This window comes from Homo sapiens, chromosome 13 (genome assembly GCF_000001405.40).
Source record: "Homo sapiens chromosome 13, GRCh38.p14 Primary Assembly".
Classification (NCBI taxonomy): domain Eukaryota; kingdom Metazoa; phylum Chordata; class Mammalia; order Primates; family Hominidae; genus Homo; species Homo sapiens.
This window is the reverse complement of record NC_000013.11, coordinates 35,767,878-35,788,408: the sequence shown is the minus strand read 5'-3', so window position 1 is coordinate 35,788,408 and position 20,531 is coordinate 35,767,878. Positions and strand designations below refer to the sequence as shown.

The 20,531-nt window shown below is 40.1% G+C and overlaps 1 protein-coding gene across 6 annotated transcripts in view; it reads left to right on the top strand.

Annotated features, from left to right (window-relative positions):
* Positions 1 to 19,757, top strand: part of DCLK1 (doublecortin like kinase 1) — a 363,288-nt gene extending 343,531 nt beyond the window's left edge. For 3 of the 6 annotated variants that reach the window (NM_001330072.2, NM_001330071.2, NM_001195416.2), the window contains one exon: positions 13,710 to 19,757. In NM_001330072.2, the coding sequence (NP_001317001.1) occupies positions 13,710 to 13,874 (165 nt within the window). In that variant the 3' untranslated portion in view covers positions 13,875 to 19,757. Of the gene's footprint in view, positions 1 to 123; positions 198 to 13,698 lie in introns of all 6 variants that reach the window. The other 3 variants (NM_004734.5, NM_001195415.2, XM_017020847.2) reach the window with 2 other exon arrangements.
* The last annotated feature ends 774 nt before the right edge of the window (positions 19,758 to 20,531 follow it).

Sequence of the window (20,531 nt, the reverse complement as noted above, 5' to 3'; positions counted from 1 at the left end):
CCCTGCAGAAGAGGCATCGTAACTATATATACATATAGAATCAATGAAGAACAGCTTGGTCTGGAGTCTTAATTCTTTAGCACAATGCTGATCCACTGAGTTGCCCCATTTCTCTCTGCTCAGCTGGACCACGGGTTTACCATCAAGAGATCAGGGTCTTTGGACTACTACCAGCAACCAGGAATGTATTGGATAAGGTATGAGATGGTGCAGCTCAACAGTCAGTGTTTCCATGGCAACGTGCTGGCAGTCTCCATTAACCAGTTCCTTCGGTGGATAAACATGCTTTTGATTTGTTATCCAGTCCATATGCTGCTTTATCAGTTTCATTTTAATCTTGATTGAGATGCCACACCCCCTCATTCCTTTTTTTCACCCATTATTCACACTGACATTTGCCAGCTTTCTTTCCATTGCACATGCTCAGTATCAATTTTCCTTATGGTTAAAAGGACAGTATATTTAGTGCTAATGCCAAAGCATTTTCCTGACGTTGCTAATTAAAACAATGATTTCCAGTGCTCTTCTGTCCCTTAACAAATGGAAGAACAATAGCACGCTAGTGTGTGTTCTATAGAAGTATATACTGTCATTTTAAAGTCATCAAGCCCAACCTTGACCTGATTAGATGGATAACAATGCATTTACACCTTAGTAGTAGAAGCGCCTCAAAGTACAATGGGCTATAGAATGCATTGTGTGTGTTGGTAAGCTTGTGTTTTCAAATTCTCCACCTTTTTGTTTTGTTTTTGTTTTATTGTTCCCTCTTCCCCCTGGAAATCCCTCTATGTATTAGCTATTGCATGAATTTATTTTTCAATATCTTGTAACTGTCAGATTATTTAGCTGGCTTATCTGCTCAAGCAAAAGGGATTATGGGAGGTATCGATTTTTTTAAAACTGGGTTAAGAATTCTATCCAATCGTTTTCTATTCCAGTCAACTGCCCTGGCATTTCCTTCAAGGGGCATTGTTTGTGTCTCTTTAAGTTATCCACAAGCAGGATGGTTTTTGATGGTTTGAGAAATGAACTCTGAGAAATTCTAGGGAGGCTGTTTTCGCCATCTTAATGTTTCTGAAGTGATCTCCAGGTAACACTCCACATCTTAGTATTTGAAAAAAAAAAAATTCCACTGGTTTTGGCATTTGTTTTTTCCAAACTGTGGAGCCTATCTGTAGTAAGACAGTAGCTGCCTGATGTTGTTTCATGGTTAGACTGCAAAGTTTTACCAAAAAATTAAAATATATATGTATGTGTGTATATATGCACATATAAAGTATATATGTTATACATAATGTGTATGTGTGTGTATATATATATATAATATATATATATGATTTTAGCCCCAATTGTTACTCCTGGTTATTTTTCTATAATCAGACACTCAAAACATAGTACATAGGAAAGCAGAAAGGGGCATACCTTGACAAATGATTCAGATATACTAAAATCATGATCATTTCCAAATCTGTTTAAAGCAAGAAAACACCCAAAGCTCAATAAAATTTTCTAAGGTCATTTTGACATAGAAGGCTATTTGTGTCTTCTCCATTTATAATGCATGTAGGAGTTGCACATTCATTTATTTAATTTACCTACATAATTGGCCTTATGGATGTAGAAAGAACTTAATTTTTGACCTTATTTTGGAGGGAGAAGGGTGAGTTAATCATAATCTGCCTTTGTGCAGACCCTTCTTTTTTGACTTTGTAACACAGAAGAGGATTCATCCATCTTTTACTTTTACCTGAAAGAATATATACTTCCAGAAGAGTGCACCTATCAGGAATGCACATCTCTATAAATTTTCACAAACTGAACATGCCCCTGTAGGCAGCACCCAGATCAGGCACAGAACATTCCTAGCACCCCAGGGGCTCCCTTCCAGGAGGGGTCACTTCACCTCGAGGGTAAACACTGACCCTAGAGTCCAGCCACATTAATTAGCTTTGGCTGGTTTTGTACTCTATAGAAATCGAATCACACCATGCTCCATCCTTTTTAAATTATATGTCTCCTAATGTCAGGAATATTAACCAGATATATATGTGTAAAGTTAATATACAATTAAAAATAGGCATCAAGTATATCTAATTATAGTTGTGCATATTTGTGTTATAAAAATTACACATATAAAGTCATCTAATTTCAAAAACCTCTGGAAAATTAAATTACTAAATTTGTAGGATTAAGGATGGGAACTAAACCCCAAGTAAACACAATAATTAATAAACGTAGCCAACTATAAAAAGGCCATTTAACTAAAATCCTAGTGATGGTTCCCATCAGCAGACAAAATGACACATCCCTGAATAATGGGCAGGAGCAGATGGGAGATAATCTCTTTTTTCTTGCGCACATAAAGTGCTCTGTTTTCCAGCTGGGGCAGTAACAACAATGTTTATAGTTAGTGCTGTACTGAACAGTGCACCCAGTATGTAAAGCTAAATTGGAGAAATGATGCTAAAAACTCATCGGCATATATGCTTAATTAGGAAGTTTTATAATGCCATTTAGCCCCAGAACGTACACGCTCTCCTTACTGATTGCGAGTGCTTGCCTTTTATCTCCGCAGAAGTGGGAGCATTTGTCTAACCATGGTGGCAGCCAACTTTCTAACACAAACAATCATTACAGGCGAGCATCCCTGCTCCCAATTGTTGTGTTTAAAGCGCTCATGGCTGTTTTTACTGCTGTAAGCCGAACACTTGGGAGTCGCGCTTGCTTTTTGTAAAGCAGATCACATGAGGGCACAGGCTGGGAAAACCATCTCCTCAGGGTGCCCAGAATTGGTCTGTCTCTCTTAACTGGCTTTTTGGTGATTGTAGACAAATAGTGGGGATTTGTTTTCCCCTTTCTCTCCATTCTCCAGCCTCATACCAGAGAGCTGCTTCCAAGGGAGCAGCATCCTTCACTTGACCCACGCATCCAGGAGACTTTGCTCCTGTCACCCAGAGTCCAGGGAGGACGCTGCCCCAGGTGTGAGCTCACTGGGCTATTGCACACTCTCCTGACCTAAGAAGCCACCATTTCCCCCTGCTGCAAGCCACTGGAGAACATTTGCATCCCGTTATATTTTCCCCTTCCTGGAAATGCATCCTTATTCAAAGGGGACGCTGTCACACACATTTCTACCTTCCCAAGTGAAGCTGTCACCATGGCAAGTGCTATGCCCTGTAACACATGGAGAAGAATCCTGCACCTTCAGCACACAGAACAGGGCAACAGCTAGAACTGGGTAACCCGATTAAATAAAACAAATATCAAAACAAGACATAAGCTAAACATGAGAAATAAGATAAAATGGGGAGGTGAGCTAGGACAAAAGGGTGGTTGAGTTCTCAGGCAAGATGTGACTAAAATGTGCATATTGGATTCAAGCACCGTCCTGAAACAGTGAGTAATGAGGCAGAGCGGTGATGGCCGCGCTGTCATGCTCGGTTGTTAAAAGGAATGGGGTCAGTTAAACGCATCTTGCTCCGTGCAGGTTTGAGAAAACTGTTCCCCTGGAAGCCAGGGAGGAACCTCCGTGTGGTGTGAGAAGGGATGTAGGGCCCGCCTCGGCCAGAAGCAGCCAAATGTACACAGCAAGTTGCAATGCATTGCAGGTTGCTCGGTGGCTAGTTGTCCTGGCTTTGCTCTGCAGAGTGAGAACGCTGTCCCCGGGGACAGCCAGAGCATGGTTGGCAGCCAGGGCAGATGCTCCACCCACTCCAGAGGCTCCCTCTGTAACACAGAATTTGGGGGATTCAGTTTAACACATCGAAAAGTCATAGATTTAAACTTCAAAACCACTCAAACTGTGATTAGAGAGAAGTCTCAGGAAAGTAGTTAGGATTGGTCTTGCAGTTGTACCTTGTACCCAAGCATGAGCTATTAGGCCATAGGCTCAAAAGATGAGTGATACTATGCCTGTTGTGGCGTGAAGGTCACCAAGGGTCATTGGAAAGAACATGGGAATGGTGAAACATCTGCATTACATTTCCCAACTCAAACAGGTTGCTCACTGAGGTTTTATTTTCTTTTATTTTGTTTTCAGAGGCCCCTTAAGAGAGGATTCCAATGACATATAAGTCTTTTTAAAATTTAGCTTACTTATTACTAAAAATGAGAAAATGTCATGGCATTCCAAGTCTTAATCATTGAGTGTAAACTGAAGAGAGATTTTAACATTTTCCTAAGATTCCTGATGATTCTAGATTGACTGAAAATTGTGTAGTATCATATTTATTCTGCCCTTGCCTCAGAATCTCTTTCCCTCATTTTGACTTAAAAGTAAACATCTATGCTCTTTTCTACATATTCATTCCTGCCATACTTTGTGAATGCTCCTTAGTGAGGTTCATTGAGAGGATAGAGGCTTTATGAGGTATAAATGCACAGGAAATCATACATAAAGAACGTAATTATAAGTATCAACACACCTTTTGCTAAGAAAGGGTGTAAGTATTCATAGGCTGAAATAAACAATTCTCAAATATATGTCAGACACATGACACTTTTAGAAATTAAACAGTCTTGGAGGCTGGGCGCGGTGGCTCACACCTGTAATCCCAACACTTTGGGAGGCCGAGTTGGGTGGATCACCTAAGGTCAGGAGTTCAAGACTAGCCTGGCCAACATGGTGAAACCCCGTCTCTACTAAAAATACAAAAAATTAGCTGGGCATGGTGGTGGGCACCTGTAATCCCAGCAACTCAGGAGGCTGAGGCAGGAGAATCATTTGGGCCCGGGAGGCGGAAATGCAATGAGCCGAGATCACACCACTGCACTCCAGCCTGGGCAGCAAGAGCGAATCTCCGTCTCAAAAAAAAGTCATGGAGATTGAGATTCAATTAACTTAATTAAAGATTGGCAGCCCAGTGTACAGAGAGAGTGTGGCTTTGGAGTCAAGAAGCCCTGGGTTTGGATCTAGTCCGCCCCATTTCCTGCAGTAACCTTGGGCGAGTTACATTCTCTGTCTGATTTTCCACACCTACGAAAAGGTGAAGAGTGTTATCCACCTTCCAAATTTGTGGTGAGAATTAAATTAGCTGCTTGTGCAAAAGTGCTTTCACACACCCCAGCCCAAAGAAGAAACTAAAAAAAAAAAAATTTGCTTTCTGTTTCCCTCACTTCCAAGAGCAAATCACCCACTCCACAGATTTTCCTGAGAAAACTGATGTCTCTCCAGAGAGAGGCATTTGTTACTAAAGTAGAATCATAAACTGTTTTAATGCTCTGATTAGAGTAAACCGCTCAGTAATGTATATGTTTATATTTCTTGTGAGCATTTGCGGCATTATGTTTTACCTGAAGTAGCTATAGCCAAAAATTCTGATGAAGTATAAGTTTAAAATGTGATCCTCTAGGACAGGGCTTGGCAAACTATGGCCAATGGGCCAAATCTAGCCCACTTCCTTTTTTTGTAAATAAAGTTTTATTGGAACACAGTCACACACATTCATTTACAAACTGTCTATGGCTGCCTTTGCCCTACAGCAGCAGAGTTGAGTAGTTGAGTCAGAGAAACATGTGGCTTGCACAACTTAAAGTATTAACTATCTGGCCCTCTCCAGAAGAGTTTTCCAACACCCTTTCTAGGGGGAAAATATGTCTAAATTAAAAGGCACCATCTGTACAAATGCAAATTCCACAAGAACAGGATTAGGGCTTGTTAAAAACTATGTCTCCACTGCCTAGTAGAAGAGGCCTTCAATAAATATTTGTTAAGTTAACAAATAAATGATTGAACTCTCCGAAGAAGGGACCATTTTTTCACTGATTTTTTCAGGATAGACATGTTTTTGAAGAATTTGGGATACATCAAAGTTTGGGCAATCAAATCACATATGAGATGCTCTAAAATAACATCCCACTTTTAGCAATCCAGGACTAAGCTTTTTGGCAAGGTTAAAATGGTTTCTGCAATTAAAGGAACTATCCCTGACTTACTTGCTTTGTAGGCACTAAATTTTCATAGATTTTCTTAAGGCAGACTGTGCTTTTGGTTCATGTTTAGTTTACTGATATGATGGAGAACAAACATGGCAATTCCGCTGAGGTTGGGCTCCTATAAGAAAATCAGGGGCTGTCGGGCAGAGGAAGCACACAAATTTTGTCCTGAGCTCAACCGCCACCAATTGGCTGTAATTTTAACTGTCTGATGGGAGGCCATCAGAAACCCACTGCAGAGCTAGGCCAATTTAAGACTCTATTAAGAACCAGGTCAGCAGGAGAAGCCTATGTTTAAGATTAGTAGTGCAGAAGCATAAGGTCAGCTCTCCCAGGAAAATGGGGAATAATATTTAAGATAGTCTTGCCAAGAAAGTAAGCAGCTTGGAAGGCTACTCAGTTGCATCCCAAGAAGGCCTCCTTTTGCCATTTTGATGGTCATCTTTAAGAAAAGCCATGCCCTGTCTTCAGATACTGTGTCATTTCTGGCAAGACCTCAAAAGGATATGAAAGCAAAACAAAACAGAACTGCAATAAGCCTGAGAGTAAGCCCAATAAAATGAGGAGGGTGGATATTTCAATCGATTTGTCAGTTTAATTTTACTAGCAAGCAAAACATTTCCAAACTGACAAGCAAATCGTAATGTAGTCCCCACAGAGTAAGGGTAAGCAAAAGAAAGGGTTCCTGAGATTAATGTCCCAGCAGCTGCATCCCCAGTTCAGTCTCCTAGGTAGCATGAATAATGGATGGGCTAAAAGGCAAAATGCACAATAATGTTCTTTTATTAATGAAATGAAGACTATATGTGATGGCTAGCAATAAATTAAGAAAAGCAAAAAAGGAAAAGCAGTCAATGTTTGCCTCTGAAAAATGCAGTTACTTAAATCCAATAATTACTGCCATGACAGAAACCATTGCCTCACAATGAAAGTGAGTACATCTCTTGTGAATCCTGCAAGCATTGCGGAACAGAAACATGTTTGGTCCATAGACTGTAAGGCCTATTGTTTGCTAAGAGAAAAACATAACCCATTAAGTAGATTGATGGTGATATTAAGAATATTCATAGAATTTCATAGGTGAAAGTTTCCCTAGGGATTATGCACAATAACCCCCTTTCAGTCTATGGACCTGGAAATTGGGGCTCGATGTGGTTAGAAAACATGTCCAAGGTCACATAATTAGCTGAACTAGGACAAAAAGCTAATTCTCCTGACTTCCACCTACTGCTGCTTCCAAGGGGATTAAACTTAAGCTACCAGACAAGACAAGCATAGAGACGTGGGGTGACTCAGACCGGCAAAACCTAAGCTAATGCTTCAATTCATGTTCTTGATTATTCCTGACCTTCCTCCTCTATGCTATGTTTTTCCTTTAACGTTAGACATACCAGATGGGTAGTTCATATGTCTTTATACTGATTTTCCCAATTTAATGTCAGAACGAAGGATTTAAACTATCTGAGCACATGTGGAGGATACTGTCATTTCATTGTAACAGAAGAGGCCACAGGCCAAATTCAGTAGATGTATCCTTTATGGGAATAAATCTGATAATAGGCAAGCACTGTCTTTTATTTATGTATGCCTGGTGTTACGGCAGGCACCAACACGATGGGGATGGATTTCCCTAAGATTTTCAGCTACCACATGTGCAGCCACCTGAGTTGCTGAGATAGCTGGCATTATTTTACCGTTCCTCTGCTTTCACACTTGATCTAGCATCTGCTAAGGGCTTTGTGATAAGCCAGGGCTTACAGATTGTGGTAGGAATATGCGGTGTTTCTTCTGGATAGGGCAGGTTTATATTAGTCCATTTCTCTATACCATTTTATTTAATCAACCATGTGTTCTCTCTTTACCAGCTTCCCCCAAGCCATCATTACTCAGCTCTCACCCAGTACCCAGCATGGCAGTCACTATTGTGCACATATCTGAAGTAACTAGGTTAGAGCTGCATCCTTGGTTACCACTGGTCAACTCCAGAATCTCAAGAGATTTCTTGCTTACCTCTAACCTGTGATAATTAGCACCAAAATGTGATAATGCACTCTTCAGAGTCTCTTAGGATCTCTTAGTGAAGTGGTAACTTACTAAGGAAACACTTGGGAATTCTACTGCAAGCCTATTCATGTAGGTTCCAACAAAGCTACAAACTGTGAACAAAATAACTAATAAAATAATAAATCTGTTAGGAACTCTTAAGTGTTCATGGAGCCTCAAGCCTATACCTGAGGACATACTTAATTTACAAAAATAGGCGTTCTGAAGAGACCCTATTTGCTTGATGTCTGGGGATTTTTTTGTGATTGATAAAGAGTAAAGCTAGCCATACACACACACACAAAATCAAGTTGACTCTTGAGGACTCCCCTGCCTAAAAAAATAGTAAAGCTGCCTTTTAGAAATGGTTGAAAGGGCTCACACTCTGAAGTTGTGATGCAGGATTTCAGAGGAACAAATTATGTTTCAAATGCTTTTTTTTTTTTCAGGGGCGGGGAAGAAATTTTCAATTGGATTACATGTTTTATGAGTATACCTTGTAAAAATTATATATTAGCCTACAGTGCTATTTCCTTGGTAACTTCATCTGTCCCAAACTGCATATATGGGCTACAGAATTCAATTGGAAAAGATGAACTGCATATATTTTAGAGTCAAGTTAATTTTGTAGCCACAAACTTCTAAACATCATACATGACAGTGTTTAGTATGATAAGAAATTAGACCACAATAAATGCTTGTAGGATGAGTGAATTCATAAGAGAATTTTAACTTTATCTGACATAAGAATTTGGTCATATTTGAAGCATAAGTTATAGTCTTAAATATTGACTCTTAATACTTTTTACTTCTTTTTTGTGTTGGAGTTGCTTTGAATTCTATTTTTTGCTATTGTTATTATTCAGAAAGTATATAGTCCCCTAAAATAATGCCGTATTCACTAAGAAATGTTTAATACACACTTAATATGTGTGCCACAGTCTACTAATCATCTGGAAAATGCAAAGAAGTTTCAAATTCTACCATAGAGTAGTTGGCAAGGTATTTGGGGAATATGCAAAGAAAAATAATAGAAGGTCAGTGTGCAATTAATTCCCAAAAGTTTGGTCAAAACAATTCTTGCCTAAGGAGTTTAGGAAGAAAATATATGGTACAGGTGGTAAAATTTGATCAAGTCTTCAAGAATAAATAAATTGGCCGGGCGCAGTGGCTCACACCTGTAATCCCAGCACTTTGGGAGGCCGAGGCAGGTGGATCACCTGAGGTCAGGAGTTCGAGACCAGCCAGGCCAACATGGTGAACCCCTGTCTATACTGAAAATACAAAAATTAGCCAGGTGTGGTGGTGGGTGCCTGTGAACCCGGGAGGTGGCGGTTGCAGTGAGCCAAGATTGTGCCACTGCACTCCAGCCTGGGCAACAAGAGTGAGACTCCGAGAAAATAAAAATAAATAAATAAATAAATTTGAGTGGGCAGAGAGAGAAAGAGAGGTAATTTCATGTTGGCGAGTACCTTGAACCAAGAGGTAGATGTGAGAATGATTAAAGTACATTCAGAGATACATCAGTTTGGACTGTTTTTATGGCAAGTGAAGAAAACCAAAACCAAACTGGCTTAAGTGAAAAAGGAAATGTATTCTTTTACATAGCCTGAAAGATTCACAGGTTGAGTCTGAGTTCAGTGATGGATGGATCCAGCACTCAGTTAATGCTTGGTTTCTTGACATCCTCCAACCCTGCCTCCCTGTGTTGGCTTTAGTGTTGGACTTCACATGGTTCCCAGGATGGGAGAAGCAGCTCCAGGCCTGCCAGTCTCTCAAAATTGGGATTCATTATAAATGTGAAGTTCCAGCAAAAGTCTTACCATGTCCTATTGATGGGGTCGGGTGCCCATCTTGGGCCATTCATGGGTATTGGGGAATGCAGTAAACTCAGGCTTACTCCTGAGTCACAAGCCCACCCCAACCCTACTCCCAGAGATAGGAGTAGGGTCAACTTCATCAGGATCATGGAATGTGGGAGTGAGGAGGTATGCAAAGGGAAATTAAGGTATAGTTAACCATAGGCAGAGTAAACAGATGCTGTGCTTGAAAATCAAGTGTCCAGTAAAGGAAGACAATGAGTCTACTGATGCCATAGGATCATTTTGAGTAATAATAGGTATACACCCTGGAAGTTTTTATTGGAAGCACATTGCAAAGGCTGGGACAAGGAATTGGGCTTTATGAGGAGCTGTAAATAAATTGGACCTTGTAGAAATTGACCTGACAGCTGTGTGCAGAATGGACCGGAAGGTGGGTGCTCCAGAGAGAAGCAGATCACCTCTATTGTACTTTCTCATATCTCAAAAGCCACAAAGTTTTTGAAGAGAGAGAAACAGATCACTTCCATTATACTTTCCCATCTTTCAAATGCCACAAAGTTCGTAGAATATCTACTGTGTGCTGTGAACTGTGGAAAACACAGAGACGATGTCCAACGCTTGACCTTGGTCCTCCAAAGAGTCTACAAAGTGGTAGGGAAAACAGTTAATTAGGATCAATTATGGTGCAGGCAGGATGAACAACGATAATGGTACTAGACTGTCATGGAAACAGAGAAGGAAGAAGTTCCTAAAATACTTTCTCTAAGCAGAGTGGGCGGGGGCCCAGAAGGAGAGACCTGTAGTCAGAGACACCCTCTGGAACATCTCTGAGAGCAGGTCAGTTGGGAATCCTCAATGCTGGTTTGAGAATATTATGAGGACCTGAGGGGTGGAAAACTGCACCTCTGTCATCAGACTCAGGTCTCCTTAGGAATTTATGAGCATCAAAATTCAGAATGTGTACACGGGATTGTGTACATGGTGGATCCTATCTGCTCTACAAAGAGAAGTTTCTCTGATCATCAATGTGGAGAAGCCACTGTCTTTTGGTCTTTGATACTACCTGTGGCCAATGTCTTTCCCTAGCTCATGCTGGCTGGGAACAGAGAAGGGTTGAGCTGCTGGGAGTGCAGTGACTTTAATTTATCATTTCAATAAACTTCAGAGTAAATGGGAAGAAACTGCTTGGGCTTTGCACAGGAGAAGACTGAGTTCTGTTCCTAGTTAGCAATGCACATGGGCAAGTCTCTCCACATGCCTAGGTCTCAGTTTCCCTGCCTGTAAAGACAGAACATTGGACAAAAATGCTTTATAAACCCTCATTCAACTTTAAGAGTCTGCAAATCCAATAGAGACAACCTTGAACCACTCATGACACATGCCCATGACCGTGATATATTTCCAAGAATACGTGTCATGAGGATCCTGGGGATCCATGCACCTGAAAGCTCAGGAGCATTTGTGCATGAGGTCTTATCTACAAAGGTGAACATTTAGAAAGCTGCTGAGTAGGGAAATCTGTAGGAGTGGCCAGAACTGACTACTTCAACAGGGACAGGGGAAGGGCTTTCTAGGCAGGACAAGTAAGGAAGAGAATATAATTGTTCTTACAAGGATTTGCAGAAATGAAGGTGAAAGTGAGCGTGAGGGGACCATCCAAGCATGGGCTCAATATTAAGTGCCACCAGCTTCTGCATAAACTGAATTACAGTATTTGTGGAGAATGGTGTATTTCAGTGGCTGCAGCCAAGAGTGTGAAGTATTGAGTGGATAATGGGGAAATGAAGTAAATATCAAGAAGGTGCCAGTGAAACTGAAGGAAAGAGGGAAAGTACTGAGTTAAATTCTAATGTGAGCTTTGTGCACATTGCTTTTCTATGACCTGCAGTTACTTGATTTTAAAACAGTGTCTTACATCAAATTGTAAACAAAAGAACACCTTACATTTCTGGGAGTCTTGGCTGTTTAGAAAGCATTTGCACATCCATTTCTACCTACAGCAACTCTGTGAGAGTGGAAAGGTGCTTCTTATTTAAAAGATGAGAAACCTGGGTGGATGGTCAGCAATGGACAGAGTGGGACGCAAAATCCCTGACCACAAACCTGATGTGCTTTTCTTCCCCACATCTGACTGCCTCTGTTCACAAGTCAGAATTCATTCCAATGCCAATGACTTTTTTCTTTCTCAAGGAGGTAGAAATAGAAAGATTTTTTATGGCCAAGAGGTGTTTATATTACTTTTGGATTAACTACAAAATGCTTTTTATGTAAGACAGACTAAATAGACGTCTGTTTTTTTTACAAACATTCAACTCTACACAAACAGAACATTTCAGTTTGCTTTGAAAGCAAAATACCATGTGTCGTAACTTTACAATGTTTTAAATAAAGTTAGGAATTTGGGTTTATGATACTGAAAATATCATAAAATCAATAGGTTTAAGACTAAGAACTATATGAGGATCCTTAAAAATTCAACAAGAATCAAAGGTAGACGTTTCAACAGACCAGTTACTGAATCATTGTATTAACAATCTAGTGAGACAAGAAGTGAATTATTGAAGTTTATCTTCCTCATTGGTTTGTAACCCTGTTCATTCAGTGTGTGGATAGTTTCTGAAGTAGAGCAGTTCAGCCTAACGAAGCCATTTACTGTACTGGTTCTACACACTGCCTCTCTTTATCTCTTTATTACTTCATTTTGGAACTTTGATTGGCCTATTTTAGATCTAAGATTGCCCTAATGCTATACTGCAATTGTATGAGGGGCTTAGTTTTCACTTTGTTCTCAGAACCAGGCTGGCTGTAAATTTATCTCTGTTCTTTGAAGGAGCTAACAGTAAATTTTCAAGAGGAAAAATGGTGGCATATATCCCTGTAGAAGAAAAGTAATCTCTTAAAAGCAGAATAACCTCCAGGCTACATCCTTTTTAAGGGGGATTTTCAAATAAGAACGCCTTCAACTTTTATATGTGTTCTATATTTTTCTTCAGACCTCATACCTACTCTTCTGCTTTCTGTGTAAGGTTTCTCTGTAATGACCCCATTTTTCCCCCACACCCATTAAATCTGTGATGAAGTCATGCTGTCCCCCATTCTGATGTCATGATAACATCCAGAGCTACAGGCAGATAACACATCCGGGGAATCATCGGAGGTCTCCTCAGGAAATTGAGGCATAGAGACTGGGAGTTGGAATACCTACAAAATTGAATCTCAGTTTCATAAATTACCAAATACTATGATGAAAATGAACTTTGTAAAGTGAAATCCGTGGGAAGGTTTCCACTTGGTTTAATTGCATTCAAAGCAGTGTTCAATTTCAGGCATTGGTTTCATTAAAATTAAACCAATCCTTCCCAGAAATTCAGCCACACTCCCTCATCAACAGATAATAAGATCATTTAGAGTGAGGAGGTGCTAAAAGAACAGGATGAGCCGTGGCTCCGTTTCCATGTCTGACTGACAACTTCATCACCTTTCATCTGTATTATGCAGCTACCCTGAGCTGCATGTTAATTGAAGTTGCCCAGGGAGCATTTTTACACACAGGACTCAGGCACCCCTTTTCAGAGAAGGTGGGAGTGTCCTCTGGCTAGCCTAGGAGCCACCAAGGGTAAATAAATGTGCAGCTAGCAAAAGTCTGGGGAGGAGTGGGGAAGGGTCAAACCCAGTACACCATCCATCCTGCCTGTGCCTGCAGATGTCATGACCAGGTCCCTTAAAGACCTGGATTTGTGGGGAGCAGAGGGCTCCCTGAGAGTGGTGACTGTCAACAAAAAGTGTGCCATGATGGACAGGTGAACTTGGCCAGTGTATTTTTTCTGACCTCAGAAAGTTCTAGAAAGAGTTTGTTTTGCCATTTCCCTCGCCCTAATTGTCCTCTTTCTCATTTTATGCCCCTGCTAGACCACCGCTCTTGATAAGGAGAGGCAGGTTTTCCGACGAAGACGCAACCAGGATGTGAGGAGCCGGTACAAGGCGCAGCCAGCTCCTCCCGAACTCAACTCGGAATCGGAAGACTACTCCCCAAGCTCCTCCGAGACTGTTCGCTCCCCTAACTCGCCCTTTTAATAAGACCCTTTTACTCAAAGTCCTAGCTTAACCCTTTGAGACTCTGAGATTTTTTTCCCCCAAATTTGTGTAAAACAGTTTCATCTGATCTATCTAGCGCTCAATGCTTGAATGGCAGAACTGAAAGTGTTTTCAGGTATCTTTGTAGCGGTTTCCCTTTACTGAATAAGATGACACGTGGTGATTGTGAAGATGGTAATTTGCTGCTAATAGAGTCCTCAAAGGGTTAAGGCCAATTTGCAATTTTTTTTTAAACTTAGAAGCAATGAATGTTTTCATCAGTCAAGCTAGGATCTGCAGTATGTAATATAGCACTTGTTAACCCTCTGAGTGCATAGAATTTTATTGAGAATTCTTGTTTGGGAATTTTTCAGGCCTTTGGATGTATACACACATGTTTCTTGATTTTACTGCAGATCAAGGGGTGTTGTTAGATGCTGAAATGTCCAGAAAAGAAGGACATTTAGAATGATATCTTGTTTGTCCTTTTCTGTGGGTTTAGAACGTGGCAGGTTTATAACTTCGACACACGCACGGTTCTTTCTTCTTCACAATCCTATTCAGAAACAGATTTTTTTTTTCATTAGAGATATGACTGTCAGTTGCAGTGAGTTCTGCATCCCAAGTGGAGGGAATTGGGTTTGTGGCAAAGAGCTTGACCCAGGAAATAGATGGTGCCCCCCAAATTGTCTCCACATGAAGATGTACTGATGACGCCCCAGAAATGCTGCTTCCATATCAGCTGCTGCTAGCGCCAGCGCAGACTCTCAGGGAGTCACCACAGCTTGTCTTGTGCTTGGTGAGTGAGGGTCTCTCTACTCAGTGTCAGACATCTACAGGAAAGAAACAACTGGTGGAAAAGAGCAATAAATTGCCCGGTGCTCTGCAGGGCTGGAATTTCAAACAGAAAGAGGGAATAAGATCCTGTGATTTTTCTCACCTGCTTTTCCACGCACTGTGGTCATCACTGTGCAATCTACATCTAGTATGAAATCCACACATAGGAGAGCTGGGGCACAAGGGGACTGGAGGCAGTTGCTTTGCAAGATGGCTGAGGAGAAAGCACACTGGGAACACAATCCAGAATGTTCTAACAATAAGTTTTCAGTGAATAAACCACTGGCAAGACAATTCCATGTGCACCTTTAGGTTACCTATATAGTCTCCTAGGAAGATCAGGATGAAAGACCTAGATGATACCCCTGAGGATAAAACCTCCATCCCCTAAAATGATTTTTTTTAAATACCACTGTCTTTAGCTGTCCAGGAGGTCAGAGTGTTTTTTCTGTCTTTGGGCCAAGTCCTGTCTGAGACCTGTATTTTCACTCTTGTTACCAAATCTATCTCCCTAGTGCAGTGTCTCCAGGCCTGAGTTTCTTCTGGAACAGATTCCATTTTAGAATGGGGATTCACAGGTTCTGTGCATCACCACAGTGCTCAGAGAGGATTCTCCTGGGGTGTCTTAGAGGCAGGTGCCCAACTCAAATGTATTCCCAAGGTTTGCTGGGCTCTGGGATCCACGAGACAACCAGAGAGGGATATCTCATGAAATTTGCATCTGGTGGCTGAACAGTACCTATGTTCTCTGTTTTGAATATACTTTAATACCTGAGAGTCTTAAAATTTGTGAACAACGTTTCTATAGTCCTTTATTTTCAAATGCACATTGATCTTCACTTGCTGCATTTTTACTCTTCAACCCTGAAACTATGGTCTACATTAATATGGATTTTTAAATCACATGTCATTACTTTTGCAACACCATCACCAAAATTTTTTGCTCTTTTACATTTAGGTTCATCTCTGTGGTCTGTGTTGTCCTGACATGTAAAAAGCATATCGTTTATTGAGGTTTTTTTCCCCCCCTTTTAGAGCATCCGGAAGTGATAACACGCAAAATCACAAAGTAGCATAAATCAGTAAATTAGTTGAGTTGTTTTTGGGGGGGAGGTGGGGGTAGGGGGCACAGAACACCAGAAAGAGTGTTGGTGTGTAGGTAGATTCCATATTAATGAGGAACACTGAACTAGTTGGAAATTACTGCTTTCTCTAGAAATATAAAGCAAAGCACTATTCCAAGGCTATGGAGTAGCTCTACAGCCTGGCCTCAACTCTAAAAGTGTGAAGAATGCAATGGGCAGAGACCTACCTGCAGTGGACTGTCATTTTCCTTTCTTTCTCTGAATTACTGCTTTTTCTGTGGGCATTAACTATATTGCTACAGCATCTAGTGTACTGAGCCTGCGGTGCATGGCTCAGGCCTTTTCCCATCGACGTCTAGGGGGACTCTGGACCGTGTGAAGCTAGGGGGTGTTTCTCAGCACACTGCAGAAGGGCAGCTCAGAAGAATGCAGGGCCCATTCAGCATGGGGATCCCAGCACATCACTGTAGAATTTGAGTGATCTATGCTGAATAAACAGTGGAATGTGACCAGTCAAGTAGAAATCTTGAGTAATCAGATGGAATGCAATCTTTCTAACATTAAGCTACCAAGATCCTGAATGTCAGAGATGTACTCAGAGGGTTAACAGACAAGCACAAGGCATGCTGACTACATTGGTGTATCCAGATTGCTTTGCTTTTAGCCAGTGCTTTCTAATTTTTTTCTCGACATTCTTGGGATAGTTCAAGTTTGAAATAATTAAGTGGTGGTGTTCTTTAAGGAATTTCTATAACCAAATTGATCTTATTTTTGATTTCACTTATCATAGAACAAATATGTATCATTATGGCAGTGTATCTATGTAATTATCAATTTAATCATCACCACCGGTGTTTCCATATTTTTTCCCAAGTATTTAATATAGCTCTCTTATGGTGGTGGCCTGGTGATGGGGACCGTCTTTCTTTTACTGACACATGACCAATCATATGGTATTTTCAAGGGAATTTTAAGATTCATCTTTTCAGTTTGATAGTAGACTAGTTAAGGAAGAACTCTTTCATTACTTGCATCGTGTAAATCATCTCTGTAGACATGTGTTCATATTAATGAACACATTTTTTCTCAACATTGTAGCAGAAATCATTTTATTCGTCATGATCAATGAATATGTGATTTGCTCCAGATCGTTAGAAGGAAAAGTAAGATTTCAGTCATCAAAAATGTTTTTACCGTAGCCCTCATCTAACTTACACGTGGTGCATATTAAAATAAGCAGAGAAAAAAAAATGTGAATAAACTACTGAAAACACTTGGTGTTTTGTGTTCAATGAGACCTTCCTGCAACCTGCTCCCCATGGGTGGCAGTTAACAGGCCCATCAGATATTGTTGAAAGAAAGCAATATATCCATGAATGAAGGCTAAAATTGCAATCCTTTACCCTTTGAGGCATATTTCAGTTGAAAACAAAAAGAAAAGAAAATTTGGCTTAGAGGGTCACAGAGCTCCCATATGACCAAGTCTCAAGCACATTAAATCATGGTTGTTTACTGGCCAAGGGCGTCCACTAGACAACTCTATCCCTTGCGCTGAAGCTCAATCGTGCTGAGGGAGAGCTTTCTTAATATTACTGTGTTGCTCTTAGCCCTTCTCTGGGTTAGGATCTGTCAGCATTTCTATGATAAACTCCTATTCTCAAAGGTTTTTAATTTGACCATAAAAATGTGCCCCAGGCTGAAGTTTGCTATACAGGGCTGTACCAAAGAGTGAAGGTTTACTTCCTTCTCTTTCCAACTTCTTCCCCATTCTCCAAGGAAAAGAACAACAAAAAAATCTGGTATGGTCCCTCCTTAATAGTGATTTCAGAATTTTGGAAAGCACCAAGATCCAAGATGGTAGTTTTAATGTAGTTACTCATTCGCACACATTTTTTAAATTTAATGGGTCACCTGGCATATATTGTAGATAACATATCTTTTCTATAATTTGTAAGTCAATAATTTTTTTAACTGCTACATGATATTTTTTTTTGCCCAAAGATTTTAAAAGACTTGAAGTTGGTCAGTTCAAAACTCAGATTTTTCTACACATTGTCTGCCATGTCCATTAGGAGTTTGGGGAAAATACTCTCACACAGACCCTTACTTTGCATGCAGTTTAGAGGGTAAGATACGTGCTTCTTTTGGGGATAAAGATTTCCTTACTTAATTGTCAAATTTCATGGAGCCATTCTAGTCTGTTGGGGAAAATAGTGATTAAAAGCACTTCCAAAATTAACATTTTTTGACAATTCAGATATGAAAAGAAGCAGGGGAAAATAATACACTTTACTCTTTTCTTGCTTAAAGGCAAACAAATCAATGAAACTTGAGGACACACTAAACATTTGATAACTGCAAATGTGCTTTAAAAATTGGTTCAATGGTGCTTACACATGAAACGGTAACAAATGGGGTTCCTAGGACGTCAGAAGGAATCTTTAGTTTGTATGTAATTACACACTAGAGGAGGAGGTGCTTTTAAGCCAGTCTTTTATTTTTAATCATCTCAAATATGCAACCATACATGCAGTAACATTAAGGGTCGTAAACTGGTGGGAAACAGGAACTTCAGTGGAGAGGCTTAAATGCCTCTGGTTAGAGTGGGGGTTTTTGTTTGTTTGTTTATTGTTGGGTTTCAACACTGAGCATCATTTCTGTGATCAAGTTTCTAACTGGCATGTGTTTTGATCATGAGGTTTACCATATCTTGCCCATACAGACAAATGAGAGATCTAGTTTCATTTTGTTCCCTAAAGAAAGAACACTCTCTAAAATTAAATCATACCTGTAAATTTCTTCAGCATTTGTTTCTGTTCAATGAAATTGAGACCCTTAATGTTGCTTTAATGTAAAATTGAATATTTTGTCTGTGATATACTTTAATAATTTAAAGTAAGTAATAGTTCTAAAGTCTTCACTGTTGCTACTAAGAGAAAATAGAATTTTAAAGGTGATGATAAAGATGCTATAATGTCAGTTCACTCCAGTCCAATCAAATGTAGTAAGAAAAAGTCCTTGAATAGTTCTCTAGGGACAATTTCTCACTTGCCATTGACATTAATCTTTGGTGTATTCTCAGAAAAAATAAAAAGAAATTGAAACTGGTCCAAGGTTATAGTCATATCCTCGATAACTTTTGAAAAAAAATTTTATTAGGAAATTAATACTAGCCTTTTTCATTCTGGCTGAAAGAAAATTATTAAAGGATTAGTTGAGTGTGAAATTCAACAGTATTTTGCTCATACATACTAAAAAGGTGCGTAGGGACTTGGCGCATTTAAACAAGTTTCTGAAAGGTTTCAATTTGACTCAAGAAAAAAATTCAATATTTCTTTTGAAAATACTGAATTTATCACTTGCTGCATGGATCAGATGGCATAGGTTAATCTTTGATTTTCAGAATCCTAATGAAATAACTTTCAAACAATTTGTGTCCTTAATTAAAGGTGGAATGAGATCCAATTTTTCCCCCTAATCCTTCAGTTTAAGCTGATACATGTAGGTTAATGTGGAATGAAATCATCTGTGATATATTATGTTCATTTATCAACTGAGCTTTTTTGATGTTGCCTGTTTTTATGTAAAACATGTTCTTAAAGTTAATAAAATAATAGTACTTGGTGTATGAACTACTACATAATACCTTAGCTGAAGGGTACGCTCCTCAGTTCATTTGCCATATTGGAGTAAAATTTCACCTTAGTTCAATTCACAATTGACACATTCAGTTCACGAAGGAATAGCCCAGCTGTGTTCTTAGGGGGAATTCTCTCTATGCAAGGCTTTAAAAATTAGTCATGCGGTCAGAGTGTAGCTTTCCCACATGTCCTCCATAGCACAGTGTGTATTTCATGAGCATAATTCAAAAACAGCTATTTCAAAAATGTCCCTTGTCATATATTACGTTCCTGCCTGGGCCACTGACTTGGATAAATACAAATAAACCAAATACCATTCAGCCCTATTTTATCCTTCAACCTACGTGCACAGGCTCTCCAGAGAAGGGTGTTGTTTTATCCACTAACCTGTAATTAGCTGCCACTTTTGTAGCAATTTCCCATTAGGCATTCCATGTGTAATATTGGCCTTAGAGAAAATTGCAAAACTGTACAATGGATTTAAGTTCTTTCCTGTCGAGCTTTTCAATGCTAGGAGATTGAAAAGTCAGCCAGCAAAAGTGACTGCAGGTTCCCTGGTGTCCTATGAAGGTGCCAGAATATCTCCAAGTGCCTGTAAAATTAGCAGTCACCTTCCCTGCCATCCACAGGCTGCTGCTGCAGCTGCTGTTCTCCCTTTTGCTGTACTGTACTGTCGTGAAGTCACTGGGTCCTTTCTAGACTCTCTGGCAACTGCTGGGAAACAATAGCTAAAGTGATTACTTCCTAAAGACCATTACCTTGTTTTACGAGGCTGGCAGCTCTGCCAAAAACCTGCCATCGAAAACCTGGGCCTTGGCGTGAAAGCCTCAAGCACAAGTCTGGGATTGGAAATGATAAAACTGCCACATATGGGAATTGGGAAAGAAGGACCTTCCACAACTCCTGGCCATTTGGATGGGTAGTGGGCAAGGTGGCACTCATGTACAGGGAAGGCAGACCTGGAAATGGAAGTAACTGGGTAACAAATACAAAACAGGTGTAGGAGCATCCTGGAAATGTTCTTATAACATCTCCTAAATGGAAGAAAAGCTGTGCTCTTCCTTAGAAGGTAGCCTGCCCCCCACCCCCCACGC